This window comes from Homo sapiens, chromosome 6 (assembly GCF_000001405.40).
Source record: "Homo sapiens chromosome 6, GRCh38.p14 Primary Assembly".
Classification (NCBI taxonomy): domain Eukaryota; kingdom Metazoa; phylum Chordata; class Mammalia; order Primates; family Hominidae; genus Homo; species Homo sapiens.
The window spans coordinates 167197371-167223238 of record NC_000006.12 but is presented as its reverse complement, the minus strand read 5'-3'; the positions used below and the strand labels follow the sequence as shown (position 1 = coordinate 167223238).

At 49.4% G+C, this 25868-nt stretch overlaps 1 pseudogene, besides 9 other annotated features; it reads left to right on the top strand.

Moving 5' to 3' along the window:
- Positions 684-1300: an enhancer, noted in NCBI's record as "H3K27ac-H3K4me1 hESC enhancer chr6:167635427-167636043 (GRCh37/hg19 assembly coordinates)". NCBI's record gives its function as "activates a minimal SCP1, AML or CMV promoter by ChIP-STARR-seq in naive H9 embryonic stem cells {active_cell/tissue: H9 hESC(naive)}" and the evidence as "EXISTENCE:reporter gene assay evidence [ECO:0000049][PMID:30033119]".
- Positions 1301-1918: an enhancer, noted in NCBI's record as "H3K27ac-H3K4me1 hESC enhancer chr6:167634809-167635426 (GRCh37/hg19 assembly coordinates)". NCBI's record gives its function as "activates a minimal SCP1, AML or CMV promoter by ChIP-STARR-seq in naive and primed H9 embryonic stem cells {active_cell/tissue: H9 hESC(naive and primed)}" and the evidence as "EXISTENCE:reporter gene assay evidence [ECO:0000049][PMID:30033119]".
- Positions 6504-6798: a silencer, noted in NCBI's record as "tiled region #9897; K562 Repressive non-DNase unmatched - State 21:Repr". NCBI's record gives its function as "represses a minimal TATA promoter and a strong SV40 promoter by Sharpr-MPRA in K562 cells {active_cell/tissue: K562}" and the evidence as "EXISTENCE:reporter gene assay evidence [ECO:0000049][PMID:27701403]".
- Positions 10174-10293: an enhancer, noted in NCBI's record as "active region_25457". NCBI's record gives its function as "activates an Ori minimal core promoter by ATAC-STARR-seq in GM12878 lymphoblastoid cells {active_cell/tissue: GM12878}" and the evidence as "EXISTENCE:reporter gene assay evidence [ECO:0000049][PMID:35858748]".
- Positions 13794-14308: an enhancer, noted in NCBI's record as "H3K4me1 hESC enhancer chr6:167622419-167622933 (GRCh37/hg19 assembly coordinates)". NCBI's record gives its function as "activates a minimal SCP1, AML or CMV promoter by ChIP-STARR-seq in primed H9 embryonic stem cells {active_cell/tissue: H9 hESC(primed)}" and the evidence as "EXISTENCE:reporter gene assay evidence [ECO:0000049][PMID:30033119]".
- Positions 14309-14825: an enhancer, noted in NCBI's record as "H3K4me1 hESC enhancer chr6:167621902-167622418 (GRCh37/hg19 assembly coordinates)". NCBI's record gives its function as "activates a minimal SCP1, AML or CMV promoter by ChIP-STARR-seq in primed H9 embryonic stem cells {active_cell/tissue: H9 hESC(primed)}" and the evidence as "EXISTENCE:reporter gene assay evidence [ECO:0000049][PMID:30033119]".
- LOC100420305 (unc-93 homolog A (C. elegans) pseudogene) lies at positions 14342-14805 on the top strand (annotated as a pseudogene).
- Positions 15705-16204: an enhancer, noted in NCBI's record as "H3K4me1 hESC enhancer chr6:167620523-167621022 (GRCh37/hg19 assembly coordinates)". NCBI's record gives its function as "activates a minimal SCP1, AML or CMV promoter by ChIP-STARR-seq in naive H9 embryonic stem cells {active_cell/tissue: H9 hESC(naive)}" and the evidence as "EXISTENCE:reporter gene assay evidence [ECO:0000049][PMID:30033119]".
- Positions 16205-16706: an enhancer, noted in NCBI's record as "H3K4me1 hESC enhancer chr6:167620021-167620522 (GRCh37/hg19 assembly coordinates)". NCBI's record gives its function as "activates a minimal SCP1, AML or CMV promoter by ChIP-STARR-seq in naive H9 embryonic stem cells {active_cell/tissue: H9 hESC(naive)}" and the evidence as "EXISTENCE:reporter gene assay evidence [ECO:0000049][PMID:30033119]".
- Positions 17191-17690: an enhancer, noted in NCBI's record as "H3K4me1 hESC enhancer chr6:167619037-167619536 (GRCh37/hg19 assembly coordinates)". NCBI's record gives its function as "activates a minimal SCP1, AML or CMV promoter by ChIP-STARR-seq in primed H9 embryonic stem cells {active_cell/tissue: H9 hESC(primed)}" and the evidence as "EXISTENCE:reporter gene assay evidence [ECO:0000049][PMID:30033119]".

Below are 25868 nucleotides of genomic sequence, written 5' to 3'. Positions count from 1 at the left end.
TCACAGCATGTTAAATCTCCTCTCGGAAAGTTCATACTTCTCTTATTTTGGCAGACTCTGTACATTCTACTAAAATCCAACAAATATTTGCTGAATGCAAACGAAGTACAAAACCCAGGGCAAAATGCTCTCTGGCTTCTGCTCACTTCTGGGCCTGGGGCAGTCCCGCAGAACAAGCCTTGTTCCATCTTCAAAACACTAGGGATGGGGCAGATTTTACCAGAACCCCCATGGGCACAGGAGCACTTACAGACCCTCTACTGCAGCATGGAATCTTTCTTCTACGTATTTATTTTTTTTTTAACTTTATGTGATATTTTTCTTCATAGATCACAAGGATAACAGTTGCGTGAGCTTCTAGAGACTGTCTGGCCCAGTGCATGACATGCAGTTGGTGTTAACTAATAGCTGATGAGCAGATAAATCAAGACACTCAGTTCCTACAAAATAAGAGACACAGTGTGAAGGCAGTGGGGTAAAGGGGTTTAAAAACAACTTCCGAACATCCGGGCTGGGGAGGGATGGGGGACAGAGGAGAGGAGGACTAGAAAGCGAAGGCCAGGCATGCCCATCCTCTCCGCTAAGCCCTGTTCATTAGGTTTATCCACACAGAGCTCATGTTGCCCACTTGAGTAGATACTGATCATGGCTTTCGGGCCACTGGAAATACACAGCTCAATATCATTCATTAACTGAACACACTGGGTAAGAAAAACACAGGATATTGGGGATTCCTTGGAAAAACAGAGTCTTGCCTTTAGTGCCCACACACAGCCCATTTTCCTGAGAAGGGCCCTGGTCCCGTGTCCGGGGTGCAGACCCACAGTCTGGGACTCTGAGGGCGGTCGCCACAGGTGGGTGCGTTGACAAATCGTGGCTGCTTGAGAACATTGGGAGATCTTGCTACAGAGGTCCGTGGGTCCTTACCTTGGGAACGCCGGACACAGCGCACACAGCCCACCAACCCCAGACCCCTGGTGGTATCACGCTGTAAGCACAGAACTCCTACTCGCCTTGTAGTCCTCTCCATAATCCTCTCCAGTTCTCAAAACACATCATCAGCTTGATTTTCTCCTCGGCTGTGCCAGCATAAGCCAACCTGTTCCTTCCCACACCGTCTGGGCCTTCGGGCCCTGCCAGGTGGCACCACTGCAGAGGGGCAGCACTGAGTGGGACACGTAGGTGTGTAGTTACCTGCCCAAGGGAGGGTGGCTGACCATCTGGGACACCATGCCCAGGCACACTCCCTGCTATGCAGGCTGGCCCTGAGCCATGGCGTTTAGGCCAAGGGAAAGGGCCCTGGCTGGCATTTGTCACAGGTCTCCCCTTGTCTAATGTGCAGAATTCAGGAAATACTTTTTGAAGGCAGGATTGCCATGTAGCCAGCTGTCTGCCAGGGTTCATCCCAGGGACCAACCCCACTGTGTGCTTCTTTACAGCTCATCATAAACCGGTCAGGAGAAAAGGAGTTGCCAGCCACGGGGGTGACGTGAGCCGGGGCCTAAATGACTGGTGGCAAGCCGGGACTCACACTGGATTGCAGCCTGATTAGGCTTGCGGGGCCAGAGGGGATGAGAGTTAGCCAGGGCGGTGGAAACGGCTTCCCTGCCACTGCCGTTGTCTCAGGTGGCTGTGTCTGGTGCCTGAGCGCTCCGGTTCACAGTTTCTTTACAACCACCGCGGTGGGAGTTCTGGGGGCCGCCTGGGGAAGCAGCTCAACCACAAGAATGGGCAGCCCAGAGGGCAGGTGGGGGCTTAGCTTACCTGATAGAGTTCTTTCTAGAAAATTCCTTTATAGAAGTATAGTTTTCCTTAAAAATTTTGTTCTTCTTAAATTAGATGTTCTTCTTAAAAATACAGAAATAGGCCAGGCGTGGTGGCTCAGGCCTGTAATCCTAGCACTTTGGGAGGCCTAGGCGGGCGGATCACGAGGTCAGAAGCTCAAGACCAGCCTGGCCAACATAGTGAAACCCTGACTCTACTAAAAATACAGGAAGATGAGCTGAGCATGGTGGCGGGCACCTGTAGTCCAAGCTACTCGGGAGGCTGAGGTAGGAGAATCTCTTGAAGCTTGGAGGCAGAGGTTGCAGTGAGCTGAGATCTCACCACTGCACTCCAGCCTGGGAGACAGTGGGAGACTCCGTCTCAAAAACAAGACAAAACAAAACAAAATACAGAATAGTATATAGGTGCATCCAGTAAAAAAAGGATACACGCCCCTTTCCTCTCAGAAATTTAATTATCTAGAGAAGAGTTTGATGTCTCTCTCTCTCCCTAGATATATATTTACACACACACACAATGAGCCTATATTTTATATATATGCATGTCCATATATACATGTATCTATTTATATTCATGTATACATATGCATATGTATACGATTTTTCATACATGTTATGTTTAGTCAAAACTTAAGCAATAACCTTCAATGCTTGTCTTTACAAGATGTTCTCCCTTCATCATATCAAGTACCTTTCCAGTCTGTCTTTCTACAGCTTTCCAGCAAATCCTTTCCAAAGTCAGTGGAGAAGTTTCCAGCAGGAGCAGCTGCTGAGAGACCCACATTGCACATACAGGCCTTACCGCCCGCTGAGCGGGAAGAAGCGGCACAGTGGCTTCTCAAGGGACCACTGAAAAGAGGCGGTCATTGCACCGTAGCTGGAAACAAACGGGGAAAATGCCTCAGTCTCACCTGCTGACACTCGCTGAGATTTTAGAAGCCACGCGCTGCAATAGCGGCTGGAGCGAAGGGACTGCAAATAGGTCACGTCACCCAGGATGGCGTTATCTCGCTTGAGGACAGAGTTCAAATTGTATGGATGTTTGTGGTTGTGAGAGCAAAGGCACGAAATCTTTGGAGATTTTTGGACATAATTTACTATCACTGTGTCTTTGTCTGCATAGACAAAAATAATTGATAGAAAAAATCCCCAGGAAATTCCAGCAGCATCAGCACTTTCTGCCGCTCATCAAGGCACAGGAGACAAAGAGGTACTTGGCCCTCAGCTGTCCAATCACAGGCCGGCTTCCTTGGCTGTCAAGTCACAGTCGTACTTCGCTGTCACCTGTCCAATCACAGCACGGCTTCCTCGGCTAATCACTGCACGCAGCTGGATCTTTTCCACCCAAAGAGCCACTTGCTCCACTTTGCGGGGCTGGCAGAAAGGGCTGCTGAGCTGCAGACCTGGTGATGCCTGGGTCCAGCCGAGCTGCTCTCTACAAACCCGGGTGCTGCTCTGTCACCCATGTGTAGATGCGATGTGGATAGCGTGTGTACCTGCCCCATACTCCCTATCATTCCATCTGCTGCTCTAATTTTGGGATCGCACTTCTTCTCACCATGGGAATTTGAATTCTCTGTTTTGCTTAGTTGTTCACTGTCTGTTTCCTCCACTAGAACTAGGCTTCTGTGAGAATGGAGACCCCCGGCTCTTTTATCAGTGTGGTACCCCAGTACCTTGGGAAGCATACCTGGTCCAGGGTAGACGCTCAATAAATAGTGTGGATGACTGTAGAAGTGGGTGCTGTATCCCAGGCTGCAGAGGGCTCATGGGAAAGGAAAAGGACCTACGAACTTGGAAAATAAAAAGGATGTGTGTGTGCATGTGTGAGTGTGTGTGTGCACAGTTCACACGAGTGTGTTCTGAACCAGGACCTACACGATCCCCCTGACTATGAGAGTGGAACAGGCCAGATTCTCCGCACTCGGGCTCACCTAGCTTTGTCGCCCTGATAGAAAGAGTGGAAGACAGTGATCAGTCACAGAGCTGCTGCTCTCCTTCACTCTGGTGCAAAATGAGGGTGCCTTAGCCCAATCAGATGCTGCTGTTCAGGGGCCCTGCAGACCCTCGACAGTCTTGGATGAGTAGTCAGGCCACTCACATGCCCCAGGTGGAGACGTGGGCTGAGAGAAAGACCCAGAATCCCAGGACATCACCAGCAGCTTCAACCACGCCATGGAGGCTGGGAGGATTCACAAATGGTGTGAGGATGGGAGTATTTCCAGCCAGCCTTGCTTTCCAGACCCCTCAATGGGTCTGCCCTCTCTGATAAGTAATGGAAATTAGCTAAGGGTCTTGGCTGAGGGCCTGACACAGCCAACTGGCCCCAAAGCTTTTTCTCTGATTGGCTCTCTGGGTTCTCCTTGGCCGAGGAAGAAGCCAGAGCCCCAAATGCCCGCTCAGCTCAGGAGGTGGCCTGTCTAGCCAGGGGAAGGCGGAGTGGTCAGCCCCTGCCAAGATTTAAGATGCTTTGGAACATTTGCTAAGAGAAAATACTCTCTCAAGCCATGGTTGTATTTACACAAATTGTTCTTCCTTAAACACACACACACACACACACACAGCATGAGTACATTTATTTCCAAAGTGTGAAATTCCCTAAAGTAGCCAAGAACTCGTTCTATTCCCTATAGATACCTTCTTCATCTTTATGCAGATAAAATGGTATAAGATACGTTCGAATTTATTTGGTGTTGCTTTTATTAACAAAGATTTCAGATGTAAATGTCAAGAAAATTGATATTAATTTGCTTACATGAGTACATTCCTTAAAAAAGCAAACCATTGAGTAGACTTCCCTTATATTAATCTTTGACTTTTTAGCCGGAAGTTTGGTGATTTACAAGGTGATTCTACAGCATGAAGAACACATGGCGCCTGTGGTGAACTCAGCCGTAGCAAAACGGTGCCATCTAGTGGCTGGTGAAGTCTCGGTTTTCCGGAACACGCGTGCTCTGAGCTTTGTATCACCCAGGGCATCTGTCATTTTAACGTCCAATGAGTGACCTGCAGATTCGAGCAGATCTACAGAACCACTTCTTTTCTCAAGCTGATAGAGCCCAGATGTTAATTTTAAGGACTGAAGTGGCTATTGACACCTTTTAAATCCTTTACACGTACCCCTCTTTGGCCTTTGGCAGGTCAGCCCTGGGCCGGGCCATGGCTCCAGTGCACACACAGAGCTCATAATGCCAAAACCAGCTCTGAGAGCCAAGCCAGCTCTGGGTTTCTAGAGGTTGCACTCTCTTCCCTCAGGCAACTCCACGTCTGCAGGAATGTGTAGGCTGCGGGAAGGCAGCCTCAGGGGTCGGGTAAGATAAGAGTGTCCCTTTGCTTATGATGAGACCACTGGGGGACCTGCCCTGTGGTCTCATCCTAAGACCTGCCCTGGTCACAGGAACACTGGGGGATGCTGGGAACTATCTCCTCTAAGAGTAGCATTTTATTCTGCTACAGAGAAAAGGCAGAGAGTGAAATATACTGGTCATTTTTTAAAAATCCCTTTGAACATAGATTAAAAGGAGGAACTGGGAGGAAGGGGGAGAAAAAGCAGACGTAACTGAAGCCATGGTTTCAGAAATTCAATCCCAGTAGAAGTGCTGGAGGGACAGGGAGGGTGTGGCTGGGAAGGATGGAAACAGACCAGGTTTATTTGTGCACAAAGGGAAGCTCCTTAGAAGGCACAGGCTGGTGAAGGGGAGGGGAAGAGCAGCCTCTGGAAACAGCCCCCAGAGCCAGAGAGCGAGTCCTAGAGGATGGGGCTGGTGAGTTGAAGCAACCAAGGGAGAAAGACCAGCAGACAGTGCAATAAAACATCAGGAAGGTCCTCTAATATCAAAATACAGGTCATCCGTGGGAACTAATGAGAGGCCAGAACTGAAGTAAACTAAAGTGTTGCCAAAAAATAAAAATAAGGTCCAAGTTGATTGATCGATAACACGGTTAGTATGAAGAAGTCCACGTTATGCTAATTTCTTTACGTATTATTCCAATTTGTATTGTCTCTGAAAGTCAAAATATCATCTTAGTCAATTAACATTTATTGAGGATAACATTTATTGGTGAAGTTGAACCATATATGTATCTTGAAGTTAACATTTTTGCCATATATCAGGTGCTGGTGCCAGGCTCTGCTGAGCTCTGAGGTGCTTTGTGCTGGCTGGCCATGTTTTCCACAAGGAGATGCATGAAAGGGTTTTGGAGGAAGGTCATTAGGGAGAGAAGGAAGCTGGGGCAGTGTGTGTGGCCGCTTGCCGGAGGGTGTGCGTACTGGGTGGTGTTGAAAATGACACAGATGAGGACTTAGGGTAGGAACCCTGAATTTCCCAAAAACCCCATCTAAGGCCCCGAGGGGTGTCAGAGGCCCAAAGAGGCAAGACTGCGTGTCTAAGAGATGCTGATGAGGTGAGATGAAGTGTCCTCTCGGAGGTGAGCATGGCTCACATGAGACCCTCTTCCCTTCAGGAGAGACTTCACCATTCTGCCTTTATCTGGCAAACACTCGGGGCTTAGAAAATGGAAAAAGCAAACCCACAAACGAACTACAGGCCAATGTTTCTGAGATGACAGACCTGGCTGCTGTCCCTGCACTGAGGATAAAGAGCACACGTGACCTCATAGATCGTGGACTGAACACTCCAGGCACTTCCTTTCTTGTCTTCCTGGTGGGTTGCGTATCCACAGGACAGCTGAAAATCACCTTTGAACAAACCCACACTGTTGGATTTAAGGAGCCGTGTTTCACAGTCCTTTCTGCTGCCCCAGTAATGCAGGTGGACCTAGTGAAGCTCTTCACCAAAATGTGTGTGTACTTGGCCCAGCGCCACACTCTGGCTCGTCGGGATCAAGGCCTGGAGGCTGGAAGGGGTAGACTGGACCCGAGGCCAGGCCGGGGCATTGCTTAACAGAACAAATACTGATTTAATGGAGGGGAGACAAACAGCAACTCACTTTGGTGTTCTTGGCAGTGCAGAATTATAACCTAGTGGCATGTCACGTCGCTGCTGGACTCTTAGCTACGTTACCAATAAGCATCAAACAGCATTTGTTTAAACTGTCCCCTGGATGTGTGGCAGAGCCGGTGTTTCACTGAGCTCCCCAAATGCACATCCCATTACCAGAAGTGCACCATGACTTATCTGAACTTACATGAATTTTAAAATGTATTTACACATTAAATGAAAAGGAGAACACTGGGACAAATATCCCCACAATATTCCATACGATAACTCTCCAAATGCTCCCAATGAATGTGATCATTCATATTTGGTTTTTGTTCTTCGTGAGCTATGTAAATAGTGGACTCAACTCTCCTTTTCCTTATATGGACACATGATACTCTCAGGGAAAGCCTTGTTGAATTGTGCAAACAAAGTTACCTAAGGTCAAACAAAGAGTATCAACGTCCAAGTCCGGTGAATGACTGGAATAAAGACTCCCTTTAATAAGGGATGCTAATTTAAATTGAAACTATTTCTGTCTTTCTGTACAGGAAAAAGTAATTTTTTTCAAAAATAAATCAAATTAGCTTGGCATGATGGCTCACGCCTGTAATCCCAGCACTTTGTGGGGCCAAGGTGGCGGATCACTTGAGCTCAGGAGTTCGAGGCCAGCCAGGCCAACATGGTGAAACCCCATCTCTCCTAAAAATATAAAAATTAGCCAGGCGTGGTGGCACATGCCTGTAGTCCCACTACTCAAGAGGCTGAGGCTGGAGGATCACTTGAACCCGGGAGGCAGAGGTTGCAGTGAGCTGAGATCACGTCATTGCACTGCAGCCTGGGCGACAGAGCAAGACTGTCTCAAAAAAAAAATGTTGGGGAAAATATTTTCACATACTTGAGAAGCTCCTGGGGACTTTGTACTCGCAATCGTCATGCGTGAGTGGCATTTTAGTACTGCGTTCCTGCACTCCTGGCAGGCTGGCTCTCCATGCAGCACAGCACACACACAAGGTCTCTGTTCTCTATTTTTTGAAAAAGCTGGAAATTTTATGTAGCTTTGGCTACATCTCAAGAGCAGCTCTCTTCATTTTTGTTTTTCTAAATAGCAAGTTAGATTTCTAATTTTATTCTCCCCAAATGTGTGCTTTCTTTTAAGAAAATATGTGGGATGTAATCCCAGCACTTTGAGAGGCCGAGGCAGGTGGATCTCCTGAGGTCAGGAGTTCAAGACCAGCCTGGCCAACATGGCGAAACCCCATCTCTACTAAAAATACAAAAAATTAGCCAAGTGTGGTGGCAGGCACCTGTAATCTGAGCTACTCCAGAAGCCGAGGAACAAGAATTGCTTGAACCCGGGAGGCAGAGGTTGCAATGAGCCAAGATCGTGCCACTACACTCCAGCCTGGGCGAGAGAGCAAGAATTTGTCTCACCAAAAAAAAAAAAAAAAAAAAAAAAAGAAAAAGAAAAAGTGTAGGCCAGGCACGGTGGCTCACGCCTGTAATCCCAGCACTTTGGGAGGCCAAGGCAGGCATATCACCTGAGGTCGGGAGTTTAAGACCAGCCTGACCAACATGGAGAAACTCCGTCTCTACTAAAAATACAAAATTAGCCATATGTGGTGGCGCATGCCTGTAATCCCAGCTACTCAGGAGGCTGAGGCAGGAGAGTCACTTGAACCCCAGAAGCAGAGGTTGCAGTGAGCTGAGATCGCGCCATTGCACTCCAGCCTGGGCAACAAGAGTGAAACTCCATCTCAAAAAAAAGAAAAAGAAAAAGAAAAAGAAAATATGTGGGACACGTACTTTCCTAATTAACGACACTGAATAAAACCCAGTGCACTTTGTCCTCACCTTTCAGTCATCACTGCTCAATTTAAAGACTGATCATTACAGTCTCCCACATAGAAGCAGGTCAGAGGACTTCACCATTCAAGCCCCTCCTTCCTGGGGCAGAATTGAGGAAGCCCGGGCCCGGGTCACTGTCCCACTGGGCTCCAGCCATCCCCCGGCCTCTCAAGGGGAGATCTGTGCCAGGCACTCCTCTCTGCTTATTCCCTCGGACAGCTAACGAAAGATGGGTGCAGTTGCCATGGCAACCCTTCCCCGCCAATGCGCTGCCGTGAAGATACAGAATGTCTAGTCTAAAAATACTCTTTTGCCCTGACTTCTCTTCAATGCCCCATTCACTTAACTGTCTTCTTTGACCAAACAACATCGTTGGGCTTCTCATCCACATCCCAGTGTTTGAGGACGGGAGCAGCATCCTGGTCTCTTTAACCCTGGGCCACCTGGGAAGAGGAGGCAGACAGGCCAGGCTGAGAGCAATGCTTTGTCTTTTTAAATACAGCTTTTATTTTGAAATAGTTTTAGATTTACAAAAAAGTTGCAAATGTAGTACAGAGAGTCCCCTTGAAAGGTACCAACCTATAGATCCAACGCATTTACCCCGTAGGCCCTGTGCCAGCTTCCCCAAATGCTGAGCATCTCACAGAGCCACGGCACATTCGAACAGCTAGGAAGTAACGCTGCCATGTGACAGTTAGTCGGGGGACAGCCTTTATTTGGGTTCCTCCAGGCTTCCCACGAGGTTCTTTTTTCTGTGCCAGGATCCTGTCCTGGATTCCCTGTTGGACTCAGTCATCGGATCTTCTGGCTGCTCTGTGACAGCTTTTCATTTTCCTTGTTTTTCATGACCTGGACTCTTTTGAAGAGCACCGTAGTCTGTAGACTGTTCCTTAATTTTGGTTTGTTTGCTGTTTTCTCATGATTAGGCTGGGGCTGTGGGTTTGCGGAGGACAGCTCCCTGGTGAGGCGCTTTCTTGTCCCGTCATATGGGGGATACAGGACAGGGACAGGCCTCCTCACCAGCGATGTTAACCTTGATCCCGTTGGCTCCGTGGTGCCGGCCACATCTCTCCACTGCAAACCCACTGCCTTCCCTTTCCACACGCGGTTCTGCGGGAGCGAGTGCCCAGGGAGCCAGCAGTCAAGAAGACAGCAGCTAATCTCCACCCTGAGGAATGTCTATGTGTACTCTGTAATTCTTCCATAAAAAACGCCTGTCCCTTCTCCCCGATGTATTTATTACTCAATCATTGATCTGCGTCAGCATGGGCTCATATATTTACTCTACACTTTGGGTCACCATCCATCGCCACATTATTTCTTCTGTGGCTGCTTTGAGCTCTTTCCCATTGGCTCTTGTGTCCTTCTGATGGGCCATAAATAGATATAGACACGTGTATGTGGCTTTTCTTTTCAGTGCATTCTTACTTTCTAGCACTAGAATGTATTCCACGCTTATCTTTTGTATTTTTCCCTTCTCTAGGGCAAGAATCAGCATTTCTCAGAGGAACCCACATTTGTTTTGTTGGAAAATTATATTAGAAGCCAAGATTTGAGTGCAGGCTGTGCTCATGGCTGCTGAGGTGCCGTTGTCTCCAGGCCCTCAGGGTTGGACAGAGGAGACACCTGCCTGTGTTCTGCCTGTGTACACACATCTGTGTTCATGTCTGTCTCCAGCTGCTTTCGCATTGCAATGCATGCAAGTTCATACGGATGCCTGGCCCCATCCAGCACCACAGGGCTTATTCTAGCCCCCACTGCGTAGCTGTCACTCCTTTCTGCAGCAGCCAGAAGCCTGGTTCCCACTAGGTATGACTGCTTCCTTATGTGTTCAATCTTGTACACATGTACAGTCATTTCAGAATTGTTGAAATACCGTTTTCAGTCTACTTTCCTTTTTAAAAAATGTCTTTCCCCACTATGTCATTAGCTGTGGGTATTTCCTTGCAATTACAAACAATAAATGCATTGCTCTCTTTATGTTTGGATTAACATAGGAGCCAAATCTTGAGTAATTCCCTGAAAAGCCTGACTTTAGTTATGACTGGCATTGGCCTCTCCTCCCCTAGCCTGGGCTGCTGTCATTCACACATGTGGCTTCCCCTTTCCCGAGTGGGTGAATGGTTCCCCCCATTCCTCCTCCTTGTTTTCTTGAAGGCAGTTCCAGCAGCATCCTCTGGGTCCTAGGCATCTCCCTCTGTGGGTGTGGACCCTGCTTCTGTGGGTAGAGCCGTGTTAGGAGACAGGCAGGAGTGAGGGTTTCACCTCTGTCTGGGGCCACACCCGTCTTATTCGGCCTCCTCAGTTCTGTGGTGTGACCAGGGGGCAGCCCGCTTTCCAGCCACCTTCTGGGTCCCAAGTCCTCCAGGCTGGGGACGCTACTGTCTCCCAAACACATCCAGGCAATTTTGAACACAAGTATGTGAGCTAGCAGACAGTCCAGCTCTTTCTCTCTTTGCTGTGAATCTCCCCTTTAGGGCCAGATTTTGGAACCAGACTCCGACAATGGGAAGTTCTTCATGTGACACATATGAAGCATTGAGGGCCCAGGAAGTTTAAGTTCATGAAAACCTCAGAGGGCTGAGCAGCACATGTCTGCTTAGGAGGAAGCTGAGCTGGCCTTGAACCAACCAGAACTTGATGAAGGGAGATGAGTCCCTTTCTTGGAGGACAGCAATTTCTAATCATGGCAGCACAATCTAAATTTCATCTTGAAATCTTGGAAAGATACCAACCCATATTCCCAAAAAGTTAGCTTAAAATTAGAGTTGCCTGTATTACTAGAATATTTATAACCTGGATCCATTGGCTCTGGTTCTCCGACCTGCCTGGAGTACAGCCGGGCACTTTTAGCCATAGAACGTGGCGTGGTCTACCACCTGTAGCCACGGTGTCTCAACTTGCATTTTCTTCCCTCAACCTTGGTTTGGGATCCAGTGCCAAGAGTCACCCTCAAAAAAAAGACAAGAGGTGTTTAGAATAGTCTTAGAAGCCACAACTAAATCTAAATTTGGTTACTTGATTCTCCTTGGGTTATTGCTTTTATTAAGGTGGACACTGTGCACTGTGGGACAAGAAGGGTGCCTTCTCCTGAGGGTTCCAAAGAGCCTCTTGTTTCTTGAATGTTCATAAGCTGTTTGCAATGTGAATCTTAGGGCTCTAAGCGGGGACTCCCTGGCTGAAAGCACATATCTGTGTTGGTCCTTAGCAGTAGAGGAATATTCATAATGTGAGTTGTTTTGTATAAAACCAATTAACAAAGCCTGGGACCAGCTGCTTCTCATAACTTTCTTTATATCCAGAGAAAGGCCTTTTTTTTTTTTTTTTTTTTTTTTTAAAAAAAAAAAGCACCTCTCTGGATGGGAATAGAACATCCCTGGGGCCTTGTTCACAGGATGTCTGTAACGGTGCTGTTGAAAGAAGGCCCGCCCCCAGGAAGGCAAGCGCCTGTGTTCCAGGGTGTTTATCTGACACTTTCCTTCTTGGAGGGAATCCCTCTCTCACTGACATCATCTGTTTGTCTGGGAGAGACCGGACTTCATCCCCCCAGGCCCTCCCAGGGCCAGGGCCCTGCTAGCTGGGGACGTGGCTTCCCAGGCAGTGTTTCACAGCCCTTGTCATTGCCCTCCCTGTAGCCACAGCCGGACAGGTGCCCTCGCCAAGCACAGGCAATGCTGTGCCTCCCTGCATACGGCATCATCTCTAGGACTAAGGAGGGGTGGGCAGAGCTTGTCTTTGGGAAGACGGTTTGCGCTGAGCCAGATGCCATAGAGTTTACAAAATTAAATGAAATCCTCCCTGCCTCAAGGACCCCAGGGCTCGCAGTCTGGAATCCTCTTGGGAACCGCATGCTTCTGCCCCTGGTTTCAGCCCCTGAGTGCAGTCACCGCACACCCTGGCCCACCAGAACTTGGTCGGCTCCTGACCCTGTTCCTGTCCCTGCTCCCTCTGCCCACTTGGCCTCAGCCTGTGGAGGGTTTTCCTGAGTCTGTGTGGCCGGCCGCCTGGGGGGAGTCCCAAAATGGGCCACTGCATTTAAATCACAAGCAAGAGGCTGCTTCTCCTGCGGTCCCTCGCTGGGGGGCTGTGCCTGCCTATGGGGGCCACTAGGCCTTGAGTGGCCTGCAGGGACCCCCCATGTGTGCCGGTGCCAGGTTCTGAGTTACTGCCGAGGGTGAAGCCCTTCCCACTGGGTGTCTAAAGGGTGAAGGCGCGAAGCTGTGGGGTGGAGATTGCAACAAGCTCAGGTTGCCCAGAGTGGACGCTCATCTTCCTGCATGGGGGGTGCACAGGGCCTCGCCCCTAGCCTTCCAGGCCCTGGTGCTGCCTCGGACGCTGCTCCTCTGTGTGCTGTAGCCTGGCTTGCGTGGGCAGAAGGGGCTGGAAGGACCCGGCTCTTCAGTACTGGTGGGGCCATTCCTCCCCCACATCCTCTCTCCTATGTTTTGAGATGTCAGAGACGGGGAAGGGAGGAGGAAAGGAAAGAATGGCACTCACCTGGCCTGCTTCTGGGCTAGGGGAACGCTACATGAGAGGGGCTTGAGGGGACAGTGTAAAGCCCTGGAGGGGACCAGGGGATCACCCACCATGCAGGGGCCTTCCTGGGCATGGTGGGAGGAAGGCAGGCACGTGGGGAGGAGCCTGCCATGCCCAGGAGGTGAAGGGGGTCCTGGGTGGAGGAGGGCTGAGGATGTACTGGATGCTCTGGAGGGTCCCTTGTCGGTCCAGGTGTGGTCACTGCCCGGCCATCTCTAGCTGTTCTCATCCAGGTATCTCAAAATATGACTACACAGCAAATAGGACAGAAACGTTAACTTGCCTTCACTTACAAGTATTGATCAGACCGTGTGAGTCAGCCTGGGCTGCCAACACAAGTACCACAGATGGGACAGCTTACACCACAGACCTGTCCCGCAGGGCTGGAGGCTGGAACTCGCAAGCCTGGCAGACCAGACAGGGCCCCCCCGAAGGCTTCATTCAACATAACCACCTCTGTAAAGCCCCCGTCTCCAAACACTGCCGCATCCTGAGGAACTGGGGGCTAGGACTTAACTCTGTGAATTTGGGGAGACAGGATTCAGCCCATGGCATAGACTTAGGTCATTTCTCCCCAAACCTTAAGGCAACCACCTGAGGGGTCTTTAACATCCCCCCAGGGCTCACTTAATAGACTTTAGACCTTTCTTGGAGGCACAGGTAGGAGTCCCTTGACGTGGAAGCTGTGCTTAGGGAACAGACTTTGCTCTTCAAGTCTCCACATGGGAATGAAACCCCCACCCAGCAGTGATTTTGCTGACTCTGCTGCAGTGATCTGAAAATCTGGAGGTGAAGATCTCTTCTCTGCTAAGCTTCAGTACACATATCTGACGACATTCCCTAAGGGAAAGGATGAGTGTCTTTACCCGTGTGATTGTTACCTGCGTTAGCTGTTGCTTTTGGAGGCTGGTAGGCAGCCACAACTCACCTCAGGCGAGCTTCATCTCCGGGCTGTGTGCCCCTTGTCTGCAGAGTGAGGGGAGGGCTGAGACTCCTCCCAGGGCCGGGGTCTCCTGGGTTCTGCTTCACCCGCGGATGGTGACTGCCCCCCTGCTGGGGAAGCCACTGACTCGCCACTGACAAGCCGCATCCGCAATGTGAAATCCCTGTTTGTTCGTTCGTTTGTTTCTGATTTAGTTGAGAAAATGGGGCAGTGGGAAAGCTGTGCTCTTTTCACGAACAGGGTCACTGTGGGGCCCATGGCAGAGCTCTCACTCCGCTCTCTCCTCTGCAGCTCTCTACGGCGTTCTGTTTGAGAAGAGCAAGGAAGCTGCCTTCGCCAATCACCGCCTGTGGGAGGCCCTGGGCTTCGTCATTGCCTTCGGGTACAGCACGTTTTTGTGCGTGCACGTCAAGCTCTACATTCTGCTGGGGGTCCTGAGCCTGACCATGGTGGCGTATGGGCTTGTGGAGCGCGTGGAGTCCAAGAACCCGATCAGACCCCACGCTCCAGGACAGGCGAACCAGGCAGAGGATGAAGAAATACAAACAAAAATGTGAGAGCAGTGAGGTCTGAGGAGGATGAACTCAGAAAGCACCAGCCAGAGAGTTTTCTTAGAAGATGCCTCAGGACATAGAGCGGCTCCTCATCACCATCTCAGCACAATTTGGCCATTCTGAAGAGATCATATTATTTCACTCTTTATGTATTTTTTTTCTATTCTAACAAATTTTTAGTCCACCATCTTAACAGAGATCAAGTGTATACATGAAGGTATCAGTTCATTTAATTTTAGATGCAAAAGAAAAAGGTCTAACGTACAATCAGCCAATTAGAATTTGCCTGAAATCATAGACTCACCCTAGTTTTATTGCTGTAGTTGTTTTTAAGAATTGGAAGCCTGCTTAAAAAATGTAGTTGAGCCCCATAATTTTACAAATGGGCGAACTTTTAAACTTCTAACTCTACTTGGATCAAAACCTCATACATTTTACAAAGGGGTCCTGACAAGTCAGCTGACTCAACCTCACAGAGTCAGGGGGTGACAAAGCCAGACTGGGGCTCAGGATTCCTGAAACGTGTGGGGTCTGCGTTTCTAAATAAAGACGGTTATTTAACGGACTTACCTCCTGCCCAAGTACTGTTGTGCTAAGTACTCACATAGACACACACACACACTTCATCACATCAGTGCTTTAGTGTGCTGTGGCCTTCGCAGACCTTCGAGAGCATTTCAGGTGAAGATGCTACACGTGTCTGTTAACATGGAAAATGGTGCCGGGCATGGGTTGAGTGATATTTGCCCATCTCACAGTCATCGTCTTGTCCCTTGGCACCTGGTCTCCTCTCTCCCTTGTTCTTCCTAGCAGCGCTGCTGGCCGCTGATCTCCAAGGCTTCTTCCTTGTCCAATATGCTCGGGTCCTCTGACCCTCACCAGCCCTTCCCAGACCCCTCCCTCCCCAGCACCCTTTCCAGCACCCCTCCTCACTGGCCCCCTTCAGTCCTCCACCCACACCTCCCTCCCGGGCCCTCCCCCTGGCACCCTCAGCCACCTCCCTGCCCCTCTCCTACCCTCCCCCAACTCTGCAGCCCTCCCTGGCCTCTCCCTTGCCTCTCCTTGGCCTCCCCGGCCCTCCCCAGCATGTGTGCCTGGAGCTTTGTTTCTCTTTTGTTCCTTTAACCTTAAGCTGCTTCCTTCCCCTTCCCCTTCCCCTTCCTCTTCCTCCCCTTCCTCTTTGGTTCACACTGAGGCTTCCTCTAAACCTTCTAGGTCTTGTCTGTGGCTCTCCCACCTGCATGTTGTTCATTTATTGTTTCTACAAGCATCTCCTCCTCCTGGAACTTCAGCTTTCTAGCGTCTATTACACAGCACTAGCAGGTGCTTCATATGTGTGGAAGGAAATGGGCCTCTCCATGAAATTCCAAATGCTTCCTTCACTCACCCTAATTCATTAGGCCACTGGCCACCTCTGACCATGGGAGGGGGAGCAAATGCCACCCGGCCCTGGCCTTTTCTCCTTCCAGTCAGTGACAGCCAGGTGCCCAGACAGGCGATGATCAAAGGCAGAGAAAAGTGCAGCTGCCACGAGCTAATGCCTCCTGGCCTCTCGAATGTTACCTCTCAAGCTGCCCCACGCCGAGCTGTGCATTTTCTCCCACCTGTTAGAATTCCCCTGATAGCCCAGTGTCTCTGACCACCAGCAGCCTTCTTCTTGTCACCCAGCCTCACGTGCCCTTCATTTGGGGCGTGCTGCCCTCTCCCCAGCCTGGCTGATCAGGGAGCAGGCACTGCCATCCCTCCTCCTGTCTTTGGATCCTCCGCCTCCGTTCCATTTCCTCTCAGTTGCTTCCTGGTTGACTGTCCTCCATGCAGGGCTTGTCCTCTCCTCCATCTGAGCTATCAAGAGAGGGATTTTGCTAAAGCACAGGACACTTCACCCTCCAGCGCCCATCTAAAGAGCACAATCTTACCCCCTGGCTGGGACAGTCCAGGCCTCTGTGAGTTAATCCCAGCTGCCTCTCTAGCCTTCCGTCCATTTCACCAGACTTCTCTGTCCAATGCTTCTGTTAAATACCGAGGTCCTTCCCTTGTGGGCCCTTCGCTCCTGCTGCTCCTGTGTCTCTATCCAAACCACGTTTATCCTCCCAGACCCAGTGGAATGCCGTTAACTCTTTGCAGGCTTCAACCAGCTTCCTAAAGCTGGGCCTCTGCACTCTCTAATCCCTGCCCTGCTTTGCCCTCCCCTTTCCCGCCATGCACCATGGGCTACCTGGTGCCATCCCTGTCTGTGGGATCCATGGCCGTCTTGCCCAGCGCCATGCCTGTTTGTGGGATCCATGATGGTCTTTGCAGCTCCCACAACAGGGTCATGTCAAAAGGAGTCAAGACTGGCTAGGGTATTTGTGTAGAGGGCGTTCATCGAGGGTGAGGTAACATGTCACGTCCCCTCCATTTGGAGGTTTAGGATTTTGTGAATTGATGATGGGCACTCCTGGTGCTCCTCAGGATAAGTCTTATTTGGAACTGGTCTTTGGTTTCTCAGTCTGCTCAGAGCATTTTGAACCCTGTAGACCCTAAGTCAGTAGGAACTCCTTAGACCTTCGGGGGTAGTGAGGCCTTTGCAGAATGTCTTGGAGACAATGAACTAGGCCTGCTCATGAGGTGTGGGGGGCACTAAGGAGTGAGCCCTGGGCCTAAGGCTGGAGGGGAGGACCCAGAGGTGAGAGGAGTTGGGGAGTGCGTGTGCACGTGTCCAAACCAGTGTGCGTCTGTGTGGCTCCAGCCGGCCGTTCAGAAGTGAGGTGGAGCAGGGCAGCCTCTCCAAGTGCTCCTGGGACAGAGAGCTTGCTAGTTTAGAAGAGTCCAGTTGGGGTTGCAGGATCATCAGAATTCTGCTCAGAGACTGAGCCATGATCGTGTTCTGCTGATGTTGATGCTTACAGGAAAGTGCCAGACTCTGTGTGACAGGAGCCCAAGCCTCCTCTGAGTCACTGGAGGGGTTCAATCGAGCTCAACGGAGGGTCTGAGTGACAGGATCCCAAGCCTCCTCTGAGTCACTGGAGAGGTTCAATCGAGCTCAACGGAGGGTCTGTGTGACAGGAGCCCGAGCCTCCTCCGAGTCACTGGGGGGGTTCAATCGAGCTCGATGGAGGGTCTGGTTTTTGGGAGCAGCCAGCTAGAGCTACGCAGATGCCCTCAACACACAGCACTACCCCACTGCTATGCACCTGACCTGCATCTTGTCTGGACAGCCAGGCTCTCCCTAAAGGTGGCCGGTGGCATTGGGGACTTTTCTGATTTCTTCATCCTTTGCATTTTGGAACTGAAGCATTTGTGGCTGCGCCCAAGTGCCCTGGTGAGAGCCTAGAGAAAGAGCAAACCAGATTCTAATCTCTTCCTGGTCCCGGGGGGAGGGTGTGTGGCTGGGTCCCTGGGTCGTATCAGTATTGCCAGCCCAGCACGTGCTTAGCGGGAAAGTTGAACAGTAACGGGACTTCAAAGCAAATTTTTGGTTTTTCGGGTCTCCAGATAGCATTTATTTCAATCAGAACATCTACACACTACAGAAAAAATAGTTTCTCTCTCTAGTTTTCACATGACTGCTGGTGCGTCCAGGTCACTTTGATCACAAAACCTTTCTAACCAGTTTCCAGGTTAAGGGTCCAATTTGTGAAACTCTTAATAGGAGCCTCACTTTCCATTGTGTCAAAGCAAATTAGTTAACCTCACTCTTTTTAGTATTCAGTGTGTAAACTGGGAATATTCCTACTTCACAAAGAAAAATTAAAACAGTGTGTATCACAAAGTGCTATCAAGAGCTATACAAGGGAACAATAAGAACAGCTATCCCCTAAACCAAGCTTAAAATGCAGTGCTTTTCTGTCAATCCCTGAACTGCAGTGCGTTCTTCTAAGCTTTCATAACATTTCATTCATCAGTCTTAAGTTTCCATGGCCCAACTCCCAGGACTCAGAGGCAAATGTGCCCTGTTTTTACTTGATCAGAGATTTGATGAAGGCAAGATTTTTAAAAAATATAATGTATGCCACAATATATTATACAAAATTTTCTAAAATCTAAAGATCTATCTATAAGAAAGCCCTTAAATATAGAAATTAAAACGTTAAGAGCATATAATGAAGAGACAGGGAGGGTGCCGCTGACCCAGATCTGTTGCCCATCTGCAGTTACTATTGCATTCTAAGATTAGCCCTGAGCTTGCTGGCAGCCACGGCAGAAAAATAAATGCAAATTATAAAATAGTCAGTTTTGATGAAAAGAGGCCTGCCAGCATCAAGAAAGAGATTCGTTTTCTAGGTCCCAAAATGTAAGGGGATTTTCATGTGGGTCCCCGGCCAAAAAACATGGAGCGAGTGTAGTGGACACTCTTCTCTGATGGGTTGTTACGGCTGTTTGGTGACTGTGATCTTTGCTAACTGCAATGATCTCATTGGAACGTGATTCTCTGAACGTGTGTGAGCAAGGTCTGCTAATGAGACCAGGAGTGTGCACCCTCCTGAGATGAGGGCCGTCCACGCCTGGGCTTGGGGCCTCTGTAGCACCCGCCTAGCCTGGGTCTGTTTAGTCAGTGACTCATCGCTACCTCACCCCAGTGAAAGCCGTGATGCCGAGATAGCTAACCCGCAGGAGAGCTCCAAAGCACTGAGGTGTCTGGCCTTTGTCAAGGTACTTGAGTCTGTTCCAGCTTCACAGCCAAATAACAAACAGACATTACTTCTTTTTCCCAAGTTCATTTCCAGGCCCAAGTCAAAGCTGCCTGAGTCCCCGGGGCCCCACTCCAGTCCCTCTGGAATGTTCTCTCAGAAGTTCCCAGCCCACCTTCTCCTAGCGTCCCGAGGACAGATCACGCCAGCTGAAAGAAGACCTGAGTCTGGGGAAGGAATCAGGAAACTTGTCTTCCTTCCTCCTTCCCCCTTTCTTCCCATGGGGTCAGCACCCTGGAAGGGGTAGGAAATCCAGAAGGAAGCACGTGTGTGGCGGGAATCGTTCTTGAGAGAGCTGCGGGTGCCACGGGGCCAGCCACGCTCCTTCCCCCGAGACTGCCTGCCCAGGCCCCTGCTCGGCCAGACCGGCACACAAAGGAGCAGCGGCCGGAGACGTGGTGCCCTGGTGGACAGGGGCTGTACCGTGGCCTCAAGGAACGTGCATGGGCAGAGAACAGTCTCCTGTGGTGAAAGACAGACGCCGCCGTGGGTTTCCCCTGGTGACTACAAAGCCTCCATCCTACCCACGTTGCAAATGTCCCACTCTGCTCCCTCCTGTGCCTGACTCACTATCCCTGTCTGGAGAGCATCTGTCCGACTCCCAACGCGACACGCCCTCCCTCAGTCCCTGACTCCCTCCCTTTCCTTAGTCATTCTGTTTGCAAAAATAAGACAAAACAAAAATCTACAGAGGCGTTCGACCAGACCGCTTTGGAAGGTAAAGTCTCACACCGGGAACGCAAAGCAAGTTATTTATCTCCCATGACGCCTCCGTCTGCCTGTCCTGATGCGTGTGGGCAATAGGAAGCCTCCTTCCTTAGGGAATAGTTCTTTCCTGCCCATTGCTGGCAGTGCAGGCTTTGCTTCATCTCCAGCCATGGCCTGAAAGGGCACCAATGACAGGGTGGGCCTTTGAAAATATGGCCCTGAAACCCAGAGGGTTTACCTGTTCAACTTGGAAGTGTGCCCATGAGCACCCGTGTGTGTGTGTGCACATCCGATGAGCTGCACAGTCCACACACTCAGCTCCGAGGAGAGCACAGAGGCCTTGAGGAGAAGCAGATTCGGGAACCTCCCATTCAATACTGAGCCATGGATCTCACTCGGCCTCCAAGTACAGGAGAAAGCCCCACCCACCACCCCTGTCCCTCCTTCCCGGGCCTTCCCGCCAGGCCAGCCCCCTTCCAGGGCCGTCCCCTCACTCCTCCCTCACCTGCCCAGTCCTGCAGAAGGCAACTGTGATTTCTGTTTTTGCAGCAACCTTTCCTGAGACCTCATCTATCTGTTCCACTTCCATCCTTAACCCCAACAAATTCCAAGCAGGTCTCATTCTCATCATGCAAGAAAATTATCTAATAAGCAAATTAGGATATTCATTCATTCATCCAACAAATATGTACTTAATGTGAAGCATTTGCTAAGTGCCACACATTGACCTAGATATAGTGAATCAAGCAGGCTTTAAACAGCAATGTTTTGTTCTCAATAAGTTTCTATTCTACAGAAAAAAATGTAAAATCGGTTTGTGGGTGGCCAGAGGCAGGAAGAGCAATGGAATAGGGCGAGGGCATGAGGACAGACATGGCACAGCTGTGTGCAGGGCAGAAACACTGCTTCCTCTGACGAGGTGGTGGGAGAGGCTGCAGCACCCAGCGGGAAAGCCAGGGAGGTAAAGGGGGGGCTGAGGTCTGAGAGGAGGCCCATGGAGAGGTCCCAGATCGCACAGGGCCCAGCACCGAGGTAAGGCCCTTAAGTTTTATTCTGAGCCACATGGGAACCCGTATTCATTTCCTAGGGTGTCATAATAAAGCACCACAAATTTGAGTGGCAAAAACAGCAGGAATTCATTCACTTCTCACAGCTTAGAGGCCAGAATTCTATCAAGATGGCAGTAGGGCCAGGCCCTTCTGAAAACCCTAAGGGAGGATCCTTCCTGGCTCTTCGGCTTCTGGAGCTGCAGGCCATCCCCAGTGTTCCTTGGCCCGTAGATGGACCACTCCAATCTATGCCACCATCTCCACGTAGCCTCTTCCCCATGTGTCTGTGTCTTTGCTCAGCCTTCTCCTCTGTGTCTCTGTGTCTAGTTCCTCTAAGAAGAGGAACTTCATGCCACTGGTGTCCACAGAAGGACACTAGTCATATTGGATTAACCTCATCTGCAACAGCCCCATTTCCAAAGGTCACACTCTGAGGTTCTGGGAAGACATGAATTTTGGGGGACACTGTTGATCCCAGTACAGAAGCCACTAGAAAGCCTTGATCAGAGGAGTGGCATGAAGTGACTTCTTTATAAAAAGATCATTCTGGCTACAAGATGGAGAAGACACCATCAGCCCAGGAGTAAGACAAAAAGGCTAAGTTAAGAAGCTCTCAAATCGCCCCAGCAAGAAACAATAGCAGCTTGTACCAGGGTGGTCATGGTGGCAGGAGAGGTGGTCAGACTTTGGATGTTCTTTAAAGGTAGAGTCTAGGGAGATGCCAGTGTAGAGAAAGACAGCCATGGAAAGCTCCAGGCCTTTGGCCTAACAAAGACCTGGAAGAATGAAGTGGTCGTTTACTCAGACTGAGGAAGCCTCAGAGAGTAGCAGGTTTGTGGGGTAAAAAAATCAAGGTTTGGTTCTGGGTAAGTTAATTTCTGCATGTGAGCAGACATTCAGGTGGTTTTGTTGAGGGGCAGTTAGATCCATAGGACTGGCACCTACTGGAGATTCCATCTGGAGAGACAGGAAATTGGAAGTCAAGAGACCGGCTGTGTGGAGTGAGGATGGAGGAGAGCAAAGCGTGGTCATCGGAATCCTTGGGCCTTCCCGGCTTTAGAGGTCCAGAAGACGGGGAGGAGCCAGAAACACAACCAGTGAGATAAAGGAAGACCCGAGAGTTCGTGCTAGCCCGGGGCCCAGCGAGAGGTGATCCCAGAAAGACTGACTTGGTGACAACATCGGTTGCTGCTGGAATGTCTGCTTAGACACGAACTGAGGGTGAGTCATGGGTCTAGCAGGGATCATGTCACTGGTGTCCACGGCCAGAGCAGCTCGATGGCGCTTTGGGGATGAAGACCTGAATCAAGCGGCCTAAAGAGACCAGGTAAAAAGTGTGGCTGGTGAGGGTGCCCAGCCCCTCCTGGAGGGTTTCCCAGAAAGGAAGCAGCAGCTGGAGTGCAATGTGGAGGTCAAGGGTCCTGACCCAGGGAGAGATTTGGGGATCGGGAAGGACTGGGCGTTACAGTAACTGTAGTTCAAATTACTCACATGATATTTACGAGGAACACTAGAATAATCATGCAGGTTAGTGGCTTGTTCAAGCCACACAGCTGGCTAGTGGAAGACATAGGACTAGAATCTGCTTTCATAACTGCTGGCCCAGATGCTTTTCTACTAAGACGCTAGTTAACAGTAATAACTCCAAATGCTCTTCTTCACCTGCAATGTGTGCACTTCAGTTTTGAAACTTGTTATTGAATTATAACACAGATACAGAAAATGCACAATTACACCCCCCCTTATCCTTCAGGGACACAGTCCAAGACCCCCAGTAGATGCCTGAAACCACAGAGAGTACCAAGCCCTGTATGCACTATGACATTTCTCAGGCATGCACGCCTATGACTAAGTTTAGTTTAAAAACTAGGCAGGATAGATCTGGCAAGATGGCCAGATAGAAACAGCTCTGGTCTGCAGCTCCCAGTGAGACCAACGCAGAAGGTGGGTGATTCTTGCATTTCCAACTTAGGTACCCTGTTCATCTCATTGGGGCTGGTTAGGCAGTGGGTGTAGCCCACAGAGGGTGAGCAGAAACACTGTGGGGTGTCACCTCACCCAGAAGGTGCAAGGAGTGGGTGGCCTCCCTATCCCAGCCAAGGGAAGCCATGTGGGACTGTGTTACTCGTCCAGATACTACGCTTCTCCCATGGCTTTTGTAATCTGCAGGCCAGGAGACTCCCTCATGTGTCTACACCACCAGAGCCCTGGGTTCCAAGCACAAAAATGGGCAGCTGTTAAGTCAGACACTGAGCTAGCTGTTGGAGGTTTTTTTTTTTTTTTCGTTCCCAGTGGCAATTGGAACCTCAGCAAAACAGAACTGTTCACTCCCCTGCAAAGGGGGCTAAAGCCAGGGAGCCAAGTGGTCTCACTCAGTGGGTCCCACTCCCACAGAGCCCAGCAAGCTAAGCACCACTGGCTTCAAATTCTCTCTGGCAGCACAGCAGTCTGAAGTTGACCTAAGACACTGGAGCTTGGTTTGGGGAAGGGCATCCGCCATTACTGAGGCTTCAGGAGGTGGTTTTTCCCCTCACAGTGGTAACGACTGAGTGGAACTCAACATAGTGCAGCAAGGTGGCTGTGGCCAGACTGCCTCTCTAGGTTGCTCTTCACTGGGTAGGGCATCTCTGAGAGAAAGGCAGCAGTCTCAGTCAGGGGTTTATAGATAAAACTCCCATCTCCCTGGGACAGAGCAACTGGAAGAAGGGGTGGCTGTGAGCGTGGCTTCAGCGGACTTAAACGTTCCTGCCTGCTGGCTCTGAAGAAAGCAGCAGATCCTGACAAGGAGGTTCTCCAAGCAAAGTGCTTGAGCTCCACTAAGGGACAGACTGCCTCCTCAAGTGGGTTCCTGACCCTCATGCCTCCTGACTGGGAGAGACCTCCCGACAGTGGTTGACAGACACCTCATACAGGAGAGCTCTGGCTGGCATCAGGCTGGTGCCCCTCTGGGATGAAGCTTCCAGAGGAAGGAGCAGGCAGCAATCTTTGCTGTTCTGCAGCCTCTGCTGGTGATACCTAGGCAAAGAGGGACTGGAGTGGACCTCCAGCAAACTGCAGCAGACCTGCAGAAGAGGAGCCTGATTGTTAGAAGAAAAACTAACAAACAGAAAGCGACAACAACAACATCAACACAAAAACTCCATCCAAAAGTCATCGGCCTTAAAGATCAAAGGTAGACAAATCCACGAAGATGACGAAAAAACAGAACAAAAATGCTGAAAATTCCAAAAACCAGAATGCCTCTCTTCTTCTCCCAATGATCACACTTCCTCTTCAGCAAGGGCACAAAACTGGATGGAGAATGAGTTTGACTAACTGACAGAAGTAGGCTTCAGTAGGTGGATAATAACAAACTCCTCTGAGCTAAAGGTTCATGTTCTATCCCAATGCCAGGAAACTAAGAAACTTCACAAAAGGTTACACGAACTGCTAATTAAAATAACCAGTTTAGAGAGGAACATAAATGACCTGATGGAGCTGAAAAACACAGCATGAGAACTTCATGGAGCACACACAAGTATCAATAGCTGAATTGATCAAGCAGAAGAAAGGATATCAGAGATCGAAGATCAACTTAATAAAATAAGGCCAGAAGACAAGATTAGAGAAAAGAATGAAAAGGAACAAACAAAGCCTCCAAGAAATATGGGACTACGTGAAACAATCAAACCTACAATTAATTGGGGTCCCTGAAAGTGATGGGGAGAATGGAACCAAGTTGGAAAACACACTTCAAGATATGATCCAGGAGAACTTCCCGAACCTAGCAAGACAGGCAAACATTCACATTCAGAGAATACAAAAAACACCACTAAGATACTCCTCGAGAAGAGCAACAACAAAACACATAATTGTCAGATTCTCCAAATTTGAAACAAAGGAAAAAATGTTAAGGGCAGCCAGAGAGAAAAGTCAGGTTACCTACAAAGGGCAGCCCATCAGACTGGATATCTCTGCAGAAACCATACAAGCCAGAAAAGAGTGGGGGGCCAATATTCAACATTCTTAAAGAAAAGAATTTTCAACCGATAATTTCATATCCAGCCGAACTAAGTTTCATAATGAATAAAATCCTTTACAGACAAGCTAATGCTGAGGGATTTTGTCACCACCAGGCCTGCCTTACAAGAGCTCTTGAAGGAAGCACCAAATATGGAAGGAAAAAACCATTAGCAGCCACTGCAAAAAACACACCAAAATATAAAGACCAACAACACCATGAACAAATTGCAACAACTAATGTGCAAAATAATCAGCTAGCATCATGATGACAGGATCAAATTCACACATAACAATATTAACCTTAAATGTAAATGGGCTAAATGCTCTAATTAAAAGACACAGACTGGCAAATTGGATAAAGAGTCAAGACCCATCAGTGTGCTGTATTCAGGAGATGCATCTCACATGCAAAGACGTGTGAGATAATAAAGGGATGGAGGAATATTTACCAAGCCAATGGAAAGCAAAAAAAGCAGGGTTGCAATCCTAGTCTCTGATAAAACAGACTTTAAACAAAGATCAAAAAAGACAAAGGAGGGCATTACATAATGGTAAAGGGATCAATGCAACAAGGTAAAGGGATCAATGCAACAAGAAGAGCTAACTATCGTAAATATATATGTACCCAATACAGGGGCACCCAGATTTATAAAGCAAATTCTTAGAGAAATACAAAGAGACATATACTGCCAAACAAAAATAGTGGGAAACTTTTAACACCTCATTGTCAATATCAGGCAGATCAATGAGACAGAAAATTAACAAGGATATTCAGGACTTGAACTCAGCTCTGGATGAAGCAGACTTAATAGACATCTACAGAACTCTGCACCC